General features: G+C 41.7%; 1 protein-coding gene across 5 annotated transcripts in view; it reads left to right on the top strand.

Moving 5' to 3' along the window:
* Positions 1-12169, top strand: part of ATXN2 (ataxin 2) — a 147460-nt gene that overhangs the window by 102668 nt on the left and 32623 nt on the right. For 3 of the 5 annotated variants that reach the window (NM_001310123.1, NM_001310121.1, NM_002973.4), the window contains 4 exons: positions 8226-8530; positions 10182-10245; positions 11141-11293; positions 11675-11735. In NM_001310123.1, the coding sequence (NP_001297052.1) occupies positions 8226-8530; positions 10182-10245; positions 11141-11293; positions 11675-11735 (583 nt within the window). Of the gene's footprint in view, positions 1-8225; positions 8531-10181; positions 10246-11140; positions 11294-11674; positions 11742-12169 lie in introns of all 5 variants that reach the window. The other 2 variants (NM_001372574.1, NR_132311.2) reach the window with 2 other exon arrangements.

Here is a 12169-nt window from a genome sequence, read left to right as displayed (position 1 = left end):
TATTATTTGGGTTTTCTCTTTTTTTTCTGAGTCTGGCTAAAGGTTTGTCAGTTTTGTTTATCTCTTCAAAACAATTTACTGTTTTATTGATCTTTTGTATTTTCTTCATTTCAATTTTATTTATTTCTGCTTTGATTTTTTTTATTTCTTCTACTGATTTTAGGTTTTGTCCTTGCTTTTCTAGTTCTTTAGGATGTATTGGCAGATGAAGTTTTTCCACTTTTTTGATGTAGGCACTTACTGCTGTAAACATTCCTCTTATTGTTGCTTTTACTGTATCCTATAGGTTTTGATAAGCTGTGTTTCCATTTTCATTTGTTTCAAGGAATTTTCCAGTTTTCTTCTTAATTTCTTCATGGACCCACTGGTCATTCAGGAGCATATTGCTTAATTTTCATGTATTTGTATACTTTCCAAAGTTCCTCTTGTTATCTAGTGTTATTTTATTTTATTTTTATTTTTGTTTTTTTGAGATGGAGTCTCGCTCTGTCACCCATGCTGGAGTGTAGTGGCGCGATCTCGGCTTACTGCAACCTCTGCCTCCCCAGTTCAAGTGATTCTTCTGCCTCAGCCTCCTGAGTAGCTGGGATTACAGGCATGTACCACCACTCCTGGCTAATTTTTTTTTGTATTTTTAGTAGAGAGGGGGTTTCACCATGTTGGTCAAGCTGATCTCGAACTCCTGACCTCAGATGATCCACCCACCTTGGCCTCCTAAAGTGCTGGAATTACAGGCATGAGCCACCGTGCCCGGCCTCTAGTGTTATCTTATTGTGATCAGAGAAGATAGTTGATATGATTTTAACTTTTTTGAATTTTTATTTATTTATTTGTTTGTTTGTTTGTTTGTTTGTAACAGAGTCTCACTCTGTTACCCAGGCTGGAGTACATGTCATGATCTTGGCTCACCTGCAACCTCCGCCTTCCTGGCTCAAGCAATCCTCCCACCTTAGCCTTCCAAGTAGCTGGGACTACAGGCACATGCCGTCACATATGGCTGATATTTTTGGATTTTTTTTTTTTTTGTAGAGATGGGGCTTTGCGATGTGTCCCAGGGTTGTTTCGAACTCCTGAGCTCAAGCAATCCACCTATTTCGGCCTCCCAAGGTGCTGGGATTACAGACATGAGCCACTGTGCCACGTCAAATCTTTAGACTTGTTTTGTGGCTTAACATAGGGTCTATCTTTGAGAGCAATCCATATGTTGAGGAGAAGAATGTGTATTCTATAGCTGTTGGACACAATGTTCTGTAAATATGTATTGGGCCTATTTGGTCTATAGAGCAAATTAGGTCTAATGTTTCTTTGTTGATTTTCTGTCTGAATGATCTGTCCATTGCTGAGAGTGGGGTGTTGAAGTTTCCGACTGTTACTGAGGTCTGTTTCTCTTTTTTGCTCTAATAATGTTTGCTTTATATATCTGGATGCTCCAGTATTGGTTGCATATGTATTTATACTTGTTATAACCTCTTGCCGAATTGATCCCTTTATCATTATACAATAATCTTCTTTGTCTGTTTTTATAGACTTTGTCTCAAAATCTATTTTATCTAAGCATAGCTACTCCTGTTCTTTTCTGGTTTCCATTTGCATGGAATATTGTTTTCCAGCTCTTCAATTTTAGTCTATGTGTGATTTTATAGGTAAAGTGTGTTTCTTGTAGGCAATGGATCTTTGGTTTTTTTTTTTTTTTTTTTGAGACAGAGTTTTGCTATTGTTGCCCAGGCTGGAGGGCAATGGCGCTATCTCAGCTCACTGCAACCTCCGCCTCCTGAGTTCAAGCGATTCTCCTGCCTCAGCCTCCCAAGTAGCTGGGATTACAGGCGCCTGCCACCAAGCCCAGCTAAATTTTTTGTATTTTCAGTAGAGATGGGGTTTCAGTATGTTCGTCAGGCTGTTCTTGAACTCCTAACCTCAGGTGATTTGCCTGCCTTGGCCTCCCAAAGTCCTGGGATTACAGGCGTGAGCCACCGCACCCAGCCTTTTTTTTAAATCCATTTAGCCACTCTGTATCTTTTGATTGGAGAGTTTAGTCGATTTACATTCAGTGTTGTTACTGATTAGTGAGGACTTAACTACTACCATTTTGTTACTTATTATCTGGTTGTTTTGTAGTCCTACTCCCTCCCTTCCCCCTTCTTTTTTACTTCCTCTTCGCTCCTTTTTTCCCTCCCTCCCTTCCTTGTTTTGAAAGTGATTTTCTCTGGTGGTATGTTTTAATTTCCTGCTTTATATTTTTTGTGTATCTGTTGTAGGTGTTTTTGATTTAAGATCACCATGACAGCTGGGTGCAGTGGTTCACACCTGTAATCCCAGCACTTTGGGAGGCCGAGGTGGGTGGATCAAGAGGTCAGGAGATTGAGACCAGCCTGGCTAACATGGTGAAACCCCATCTCTACTAAAAATACAAAACTTAGCCAGGCGTGGAGGCACGTGCCTGTAATCTCAGATACTCAGGAGGCTGAGGCAGGAGAATTGCTTGAACCCAGGAGGCAGAGGTTGCAGTGAGTCAATATTGTGCCACTGCACCCCAGCCTGGGCGACAGAGTGAGACTCCGTCTCAAAAAAAAAAAAAAAAAAGAGATCACATAAGGGTTGCAAATAACATTTTATAACCCATTATTTTAAACCAATGACAACTTGAAACTTTGATTGCAAAAACAAGCAAGCAAAGAGAAAACTAATAAAAACTCTACACTTCATCTGCCCGCTTTTTAACTTTTGTTGTTTTTATTTATATCTTTATTATACTATGTCTTAAAAAACTGTAGTTATAAGCCAGGCGCAGTGGTTCACGTGTGTAATCCCAGCACTTTGGGAGGCTGAGGTGGGCGGATCACCTAAGGTCAGGAGTTCGAGACCAGCCTAGCCAATATGGCAAAACCCCCTCTCTACTAAAAATAGAAAAATTAGCCGGACATGGTGGCGGGTGCCTGTAATCCCAGCTACTCGGAGGCTGAGGCAGGAGAATCACTTGAACCCAGGAGGCCCAGGTTGCAGTGAGCCGAGAGTGCGCCACTGCACTCCAGTCTGGGCAACAGAGTAAGACTGTCTCAAAAAACAATACAAAACAAAACAAAACCCTGGCCTAGTGGCTCACGCCTAATCCCAGCACTTTGGAAGGCAAAGGTGGGGCGAATCACAAGGTTAGGAGTTCGAGACCAGCCTGACCAACGTGGTGAAACTCTGTCTCTACTAAAAATACAAAAATTAGCCAGGCGTGGTGGCACGCACCTGTAATCCTAGCTACTCAGGAGGCTGAGGCAGGAGAATCGCTTGAACCTGGGAGGCGGAGGTTGCAGTTAGCCGAGATCGCGCCACTGCCGTCCAGCCTGGGCAGCAGAGCAAGACTCTGTCTCACAAAAAAAAAAAAAATTGTAGTTCTTATTTTTGAAAGGTTCATTTTTTATTCTTCCTGCTCAAAATATGAGTAGTAGTTTATACACCACAATTACAGTGTTACAATATTCTGTATTTTTCTGTGTACTTGTTACCAGTGAGTTTTTGCACCTTCAGGTGATTTATTATTGTTTGTTAACATCCTTTTCTTGCAGATTGAAGAACTTTTTTTTTTTTTTTTTTTTTTTGAGACAGAGTCATGCTCTGTTACCAGCCTGGAGTGCAGTGGTGCCATCTTGGCTCACTACAACCTCCAACTCCCAGGTTCAAGCGATTCTTCTGCCTCAGCCTCCCAAGTAGCTGGGATTACAAGCATGTGCCACCACGCCCAGCTACTTTTTGTATTTTTAGTAAAGACGGGGTTTTGCCATATTTGCCAGGCTGGTCTTGAGCTCCTGACCTCAGGGTGATCCGCCCGCCTTGGCATCCTAAAGTGCTAGGATTATAAGCGTGAGTCATCGTGCCCAACTTGGTTGTTTATTTTCAAATAGCCTGAATTCAAGCTCACTAATGTTTTCTGCTGCTTGATACATTTCTGCTATTGAGAGACTGATGCATTTTTCAGTTTGTCAATTGAATTTTTCCACTTTGGGATTTCTGCTTGATTCTTTTTACTAATAATTATTGCAGTCTCTTTTTTAAATTTATAGGATTCTGAATTTGTTCTCTGTATTATCTTGGATTTCGTTGAACTTTCTCAAAGCATTCAGCTTGAATTCTGTCTGAAAGTTCACATATCTCTTATCACTTGGGAATTGGTCACTGGTGTCCTTTATTTTTAGTTCATTTGGTGAGGTCATGTTTTCTCAGATGGCCTTGATGCTTGTGGATGTTCATCAGTGTCTGGGCATTGAAGAGTTGGGTATTCTGTTCTTTGTAGTCTGGTTTTGTTTGTACGCATTCTTTTTTTTTTTTTTCTGTTTTTGAGACAGAGTCTCGCTCTGTCGCCCAGGCTGGAGTGCAGTGGCACAGTCTTTGCTCACCGCAACCTCCGTCTCCCGGATTCAAGCAATTCTCCTGCCTCAGCCTCCTGAGTAGCTGGGATTACAGGTGCGTGCCACCACGCCTGGCTAATTTTTGTATTTTTAGTAAATATGGTGTTTCACCATGTTGGTCAGGCTGGTCTCGAACTCCTAACCTCGTGATCTGTCCGCCTTGGCCTCTCAGAGTGTTGGGATTACAGGCGTTAGCCACTGCATCCGGCTCCCATTCTTCTTGAGAAGGTTTTTCAAGTATTCAAAGGGAATTAAGTGTTGTCATCTAAGTCTTCGCTCACTGCAGCCATACATGCATTAGAGGGCACCCCAAGACTAGTAATGTTGTGACTCTGTAGAGGTATCACCTTGGTAGTCTTGGGGAAGATCTGGGAGAATTCCCTGTATTACCAGGCAGTCTCTTGTCCTCTTACATTTCTCCAAACAAATGGAGTCTCTCTTTGTGCTGAGCTGCTTGGAGTTTGGGGAAGGGTGACACAAGCACTGCCATGGCCACCGTCACTGGAACTGTACTTGGTCTCACCCAAGGCCTGTGGCAGCTATTTTCTGGCCACCACTGATGTTAATTTAAGGCCCAAGGGTGCTTTAGTCAGTAGGTGAAGAATCCTGCAAGAACTGGGTCTTTACTTTCAGTGCAGCAGGTTCCCTTCTGGCCCAGGGTGTGTCTAGAAATGCTGCCCAGGAGCCAGGGCCTGGGATCGGGAGCTTTAGGAATCTGCTTTATTGTACTGGGGCTGAGCTGGCACCCACTTGCAAGATAAAGTCCTTTTTACTCTTCTCTCACCTCAAGCAGGTGGGTCTCCCCATGGACACCACAGCTGTGAATGTGCGGGGTCATATCTGAAGCTGGCACAATACGACATGGCACCTTGTTTTTTATTCAAGGCACAAGGGCTCTTTAGTCAGCTGGTGGTGAATCCTACTAGGACTAGGTATTTCCCTTCAAGGCAATGGGTTCCCTTCTGGTCCAGAATATGTCTAGAAATGTCATCTGGGAGCTATGGCCTAGAATTGAGGCTTCAGAACTATGCTTGGTGCTTTATTTTACTGTGGCTGAACTAGTATCCACATTGCAAGACAAAGTCCTCCCTACTCTTCCCTCTCCTCCCAGAGCTGTGAGCTGTGGTACCTGGAGTTGGGGGAAGGCTGGCACAAGCACTCCCTTGGCCACCCTAGCTGGTGTCTCAGTGGGTCACATGTACCCCAAGTCCACTGACTATGAGCCCAGCACAGTACCATGACTTGTCCAGGAATTGCAGTCCTTCTGGTCTAGACTGCCTTTCAAGTTTATTTAGGACCCCAGAGGACTTTACCCACGGTGGTGGGGCTTACCAAAATTAAGATTCTTTTGGTTTTTTTTGGCAGAGTTTCGCTCTTATTGCCCAGGCTGGAGTATAGTGACGCAATCTCAGCTCACCACAACCTCCGCCTCCCGGGTTCAAATAATTCTCCTACCTCAGCCTCCTGAGTAGCTGGGATTACCGGCATGCGCTACCACCTCTGGCTAATTTTTTTGTTTTTTAGTAGAGATGAGGTTTCTCCATGTTGGTCAGGCTGGTCTTGAACTCCCGACCTCAGGTTATCCGTCCGCCTCGGCCTCCCAAAGTGCTGGGATTACAGACCATAGTGCCCAGCCCGAAATTCAGATTCTAATCACTGGGATGGACAATTCCCCTCTGACTAGGGCTAGTCTAAATACTCCCTCTGTGGGTGCTGGCTGAATTCTGTCCTATGCTGCTTTCCACTGTGACAGGGCAGCACTGAGTTTCAATGCAAAATCCCACAGTCATTTCTCTCTCTCTCCCCCGAGCACACAGATTCTTTCTCCACCCCACACTGCATTGTGGGGGAATGTCAGGGGTGTTGGAGGGGCAGTTCAAGACTATCTTCCTTATCTTTTTTGGTGTCTTTTTCCTTGATAGGATGTCAAAACTGGGTACTGTGATCGCTTACCTAATTTTTGGTTCTTATGAAGGTGCTTTCTTGTGTGGATAGTTGTTCAATTTGGTGCTCCTTGTTGGGGATGATCACTGGAAGGTTCTGTTTGGCCACCATGCTCTGTCTCTTCTCCCCTGCCATCTCCTTTTTTTACTTAGGGGTTTAGAATGTCTAACTGACCAATATGTACAGTCAGGTCTCATTCTGAATTCACCTACTTAATGACCTTCCAAGCTGACTAGGCCCAGCGCTTAGTCCAGCCTCCATGACGGTCCCTCCACATCCTAATTAGCCTCCCTCCAGTTCATTTCACACAAAGCTGCTGTGTTCACCTTTCTGAACTATAAATCTGCCCAGTACTCTACCCTACTTAAAATTCCGTATAGACTGCCCATTTGCCCTGAGAATTAAAAGCCAAAGTCCTAAACGTAGCTTTTTAAAACTTTTTTTTTTTTTTTTTTAATTTTTAGATGGAGTCTTGCTCTGTCACCCAGGCTGGAGTGCAGTGGTGTGATCTTGGCTCACTGCAACCTCCGCCTCCTGGGTTCAAGCAATTCTCATATGTCAGCCTCCCAAGTAGCTGGGATTTACACGTGTGCCATCACGCCTGGCTAATTTTTTTTTTTTATCTTTAGTAGAGACGGAGTTTCACCATGTTGGCCAGTCTGGTCTTAAACTCCTGACCTCAAGTGATCCACCTGCCTTGGCTTCCCAAAGTGCTAGGATGATAGGTGTTAGCCACTGCACGCAGCCCTGAACATAGCTTTTAAGTTCCTTTATTGTCATATTCCTTTTGACGAGTCTATCATTTTCTGACTCACTTGTACATGTGTGTCTCACCCTTGGTCCAGCCATTGGTGCTTTTCTTTACTTCTTTATTTTTGTTATTTTATTTTATTTTATTATTATTTTTTAAATGAGACAGGGTATCACTATGTTGCCCAGGCTGGTCTTGAACTCCTGAGCTTAAGCAGTCTGCTTGTCTCAGCCTCCCAAAGGGCTGGAATTACAGTGATGAGCTACTGTGCCCAGCTCATTGGTGCTATCTTTTTTTTTTTTTTTGAGACGGAGTCTCGCTCTGTCACCCAGGCTGGAGTGCAGTGGCGTGATCTTGGCTCACTGCAGCTCCACTTCCCAGGTTCACACCATTCTCCTACCTCAGCCTCCCGAGTAGCAGGGACTATAGGCGCCTGCCACCATGCCTGGCTAATTTTTGTATTTTTAGTAGAGATGGGGTTTCAGCGTGTGAGCCAAGATGGTCTCGATCTCCTGACCTCGTGATCCGCCTGCCTTGGCCTCCCAAAGTGCTGGGATTACAGGCGTGAGCCACCGTGCCCGGCCCCCATTGGTGCTATTGTTTTATGTGATAGAGCCAGCTTCTCCCTTTTCTTTGGATTTTTAAACATACTCTTCCTTTTACTTAGACTATTCTCCATCCCAACACCTTTCCTAAACTTCTTTCACACCTTAGACTAGCTGACACTTTACTGAGAAACCTTTCTTTTTTATAGGTTGCTTTTTCTATAGACTCTCTTAGCATTTACTCATTTTATTGTGAAGTGTCTGATCTTATTTAAATGACAAGTATAAGAGGATAGAAACTATTTCATATTTTTCTCACCCAGCAGGCACAATTTCTGACATGTGGTAAGCACTCAGTAAATATTGAACTTTAGAGGCTAGGACATTTGAGTGCTTTGGTGACTGTGGTTGTGCTATATAGGTACTCTGTTATTGTTAGTTTATAGTAAAAGCATTACTCTTAAAGTATGAAAAAAGCCTTATTCAGAACATTTCATGCGTATAGTTAATATTACGTAGCTTGTGCTCATGGCAAAAATGTATTACTAAAGTTATTTAAGATATTTAAGTATAATTGTTTCCTTTATTTAGTTACAGCCAAGTTCTACTTCTGAATCTATGGATCAACTACTAAACAAAAATAGAGAGGGAGAAAAATCAAGAGATTTGATCAAAGACAAAATTGAACCAAGTGCTAAGGATTCTTTCATTGAAAATAGCAGCAGCAACTGTACCAGTGGCAGCAGCAAGCCGAATAGCCCCAGCATTTCCCCTTCAATACTTAGTAACACGGAGCACAAGAGGGGACCTGAGGTCACTTCCCAAGGGGTTCAGACTTCCAGCCCAGCATGTAAACAAGAGAAAGACGATAAGGAAGAGAAGAAAGACGCAGCTGAGTGAGTAAACCTGGAACTTAGACCATCCTGTTACTCAATTAACTTTTTTTTTTTTAAAGGCATTTAGGTCCTTCCAACTGTGAAGAATCCATCTGGACTTTTAGACTACTTTATACATTGCCCTTAGTTTACAAACAGCTAGTCCAAACAAATGACATCTTAAGTAAATGAGGTTATTGCACCCTGTGCTACTCTTCTGTTCTTCCCCTTTTTTGTACCCCAGGGCTAGAAAAACAAGGCATAAATTAAGAAAAGTTTTTCTGTAAATGAACAGGAGTTGAAAAATTATCAATTCAGGGGACCTATCTTTACTGGATTCCACTCATTAGTCACCCTCACTGTGCTGCTAGGTTGAAAAACTGCCACTGTCAAGGAGAGAAGCATGCGGTGCTTCTACTTGGAATTCAAAATATTTTTCATCAGAAACTGTGTTTTAGTTAATGTTTAGATTTGTTAAGATAGACTTAATTCTGCACATTCAGTATATTAATTAAATGGACTTTTAGGGGCTAACCTCAGAACTTAACTACCATTGACTTAGGTGTTTGGGTACCAAACAATCCAGTTAAAGCTGAAGTTTTGGAATGCAGCTTATTGATAAATTGGGGACTGCTTATTCTTGATTTGAGGCAATTTTTTTTTACAGCCATGACTTTTTCCAGGTATGTCATGTAAAATATCTTCTCACATAAGAATTACTGCATGCTAGAATATTGGTATGTTGACTGGTAGCTCATACCTATAATCCCAGCACTCTGGGAGGTCCAAGCAGGTAGATTACTTGAGGTTAGGAGTTGAAGACCAGCCTGGCCAACATGTGAAACCCTGTCTGTACTAAAAATACAAAAATTAGCCAGGCATGGTGGTAGGTGCCTGTATCCCAGCTACTCGGGAGGCTGAGGCAGGAGAATTGCTTGAACCCAGAAGGTGGAGGCTGCAGTGAGCCGAGATCATGCCACTGCACTCCAGCCTGGGTGACAGAGCGAGACTCTGTCTCAAAAATAAATAAATAAATAAATAAAAGGATACTGTTATGTTAAGAATTGCTTTTAAGGATATTTCATAAGTAGCTACTGTCTTTTCAGCTCAAGTGTTTGTTGATTGGCCAGGCGTGGTAGCTCATACCTGTAATCCCAGCACTTTGGGAGGCTGAGTCAGGCAGATCACTTAAGGTCAGCGTGGCCAAAATGGTGAAACCCCATCTTTACTAAAAATAAATATTAAAAAAAATTAGCTGGGCGTGGTGGCAGTCTCCTGTAATCCCAGCTAATCAGGAGGCTAAGGCAAGAGAATGGCTTAAACTCGGGAGGCAGAGGTTGCAGTGAGCCAAGATTGCACTGCTGCACTCCAACCTGAGCAACAGAGTGGGACTCTGTGAAGGAAAAAAAAAAAGTATTTTTTGATTGCCTTTGAGAGGAACGGTTGTATATTACTCAGATTTTTAAAAAATTGTTCTTTTATGGCTGTATTCTTTAAGGGATTAAGGAATGGGCAATATAAGTGTATATGTTTCAATAAAAACGATTAGTGATCTTCTAGTGAGAACAGTTTAAATCTATATTTAGCAATTTTTTTTAAATTGTCAGGTATGGAAGATTTTAGAGCAACGTAAAGTCCATGTAGATTTCACTGGCCTTTATATTTTTTTTAGGCAAGTTAGGAAATCAACATTGAATCCCAATGCAAAGGAGTTCAACCCACGTTCCTTCTCTCAGGTAGGTTTATTACTTTCTTTGAGGTTATCTAGTCCCAAAAAAAGAAAAATTATTAGTAATAGTCCTTCTTCCATACCTGCCATCTGAATTTTGTTTTAGTGTGCTGAACCAACCTTCTTTCTTTTTTTTACATGGCCATTAATGAATACTTTTTAAACATTAAAAAAAGGTCTTTGTTTTGTCATCAATTAGATGTGATCTTGGGCAAATCTTTGAATTTCTCTGACCCAGAATTTGACGATGGTTGGCTAGCTAGGCTGTCAGGTTTATAGATACGTCCTCTGCACCTGAGGGTTTTGCATCACTGGATTCAACCAACCATGGATCAAAAACATAGTTAGGATAATCTATACTGAACACATGCAGACGTTTCCTTGTCATTATTCCAAAACAATACAGTAAAGCATTTACCTTGTTTTAGGTATTATAAATAATCTAGAGATGATGTAAAGTATATAGGAGGATATGCATAGGTTGTATGCGAATACTACATGATTTTATGTAAGGGACTTGAGCATTCCAAGACTTTGGTATCTTCACAGGGTACTGTAACCAATCCCCCACAGATACTAAGAGATGACTGTACTATTGTTATTATTCGACTGAGATCATAAGAAGATATATTTATTTTTAATTTTTAAAAACACTTCCATCAGTTTCTTAAAAATAGCTGCCACTGTTTTTAATATTTTTTAATTGACAAAGTTTTAAGTTCCTACTGAAACATTTTTTCTTTTATTGAAATGTGAAAATTTATGTGCTGTGTTTTTGTTTTCAATAAAAGGGACATAGTTAAAGCAAGTAAAATTAGAAAGACTGGGAAAATCCGTCTTTAAATTGCAATAATAGTTCATCTGTTACCTTGAGATAATTGAATTTATTGTTGTTTTTGTAGCCAAAGCCTTCTACTACCCCAACTTCACCTCGGCCTCAAGCACAACCTAGCCCATCTATGGTGGGTCATCAACAGCCAACTCCAGTTTATACTCAGCCTGTTTGTTTTGCACCAAATATGATGTATCCAGTCCCAGTGAGCCCAGGCGTGCAAGTAAGTCATAGAATTTGATGTTCACTTAGCCTCCCCAATTGTTTGTATCTGACACCAAGCACTCTTTAGGTTTTCAGTGACTTGAGGGTGTGATGGTTATGCATATGCATTTGAAACAGACAGGCATGCAGAGATTCAGTGTGTTGTTAAGTATGAGGACCTAAATCTGAGAATGTTTTCTGTGAAAAAGATGGTTTAGATTTACTGTAGTTTGGGGTTTGTTCCTTTTAGCTGTGGGTATGATCTAATTTTTTAATGACTAATGGAGAATCAGGAAACCTTCTCATGCCTAGCTCTCTAGCAATATAAAACTAAGAGTGACAGAATACCTTGTTATTATCATAGGTGCCTAATGTTAATTTTTTTTTTAATTCTCTCAAGCCTTTATACCCAATACCTATGACGCCCATGCCAGTGAATCAAGCCAAGACATATAGAGCAGGTAAAGGTGAGAATAATCCTGCCTGTGTTTGCTTGTAGTTTGCATGCTGCATGAATTGAGTAACTAAGTTTATAATGAATAAATAGTTGTAGTTTAGCTCTGACTTTTTGATGAGGCTATGCATTGGCTTTTGATGAACAACATTACATAGATATTCACATGGATTTTATGAAGAAAAACAGGGGAGAAAAAATGCCCATCAGTTGTGATTATATAGTATCCTCTTCAAAAAGAGTAATTGGAGGCCTGGTGTGATGGCTCACACCTGTAATTTTAGCACTTTGGGAGGCCAAGGCAGGAGGATTGCTTGAGCTCAGGAGCCCAAGATCAGCCTGGACAACAGAGACTTTGTCTCTACTAAAATTCAAAAAAATTAGCTGGGCATGGTGGCATATGCCTGTAGCCCCAGCTGTTTGGGGGACTGAGGCGAGAGG

Source organism: Homo sapiens, chromosome 12 (assembly GCF_000001405.40).
Source record: "Homo sapiens chromosome 12, GRCh38.p14 Primary Assembly".
NCBI lineage: Eukaryota > Metazoa > Chordata > Mammalia > Primates > Hominidae > Homo > Homo sapiens.
This window is presented reverse-complemented; position numbering and strand designations above follow the sequence as displayed.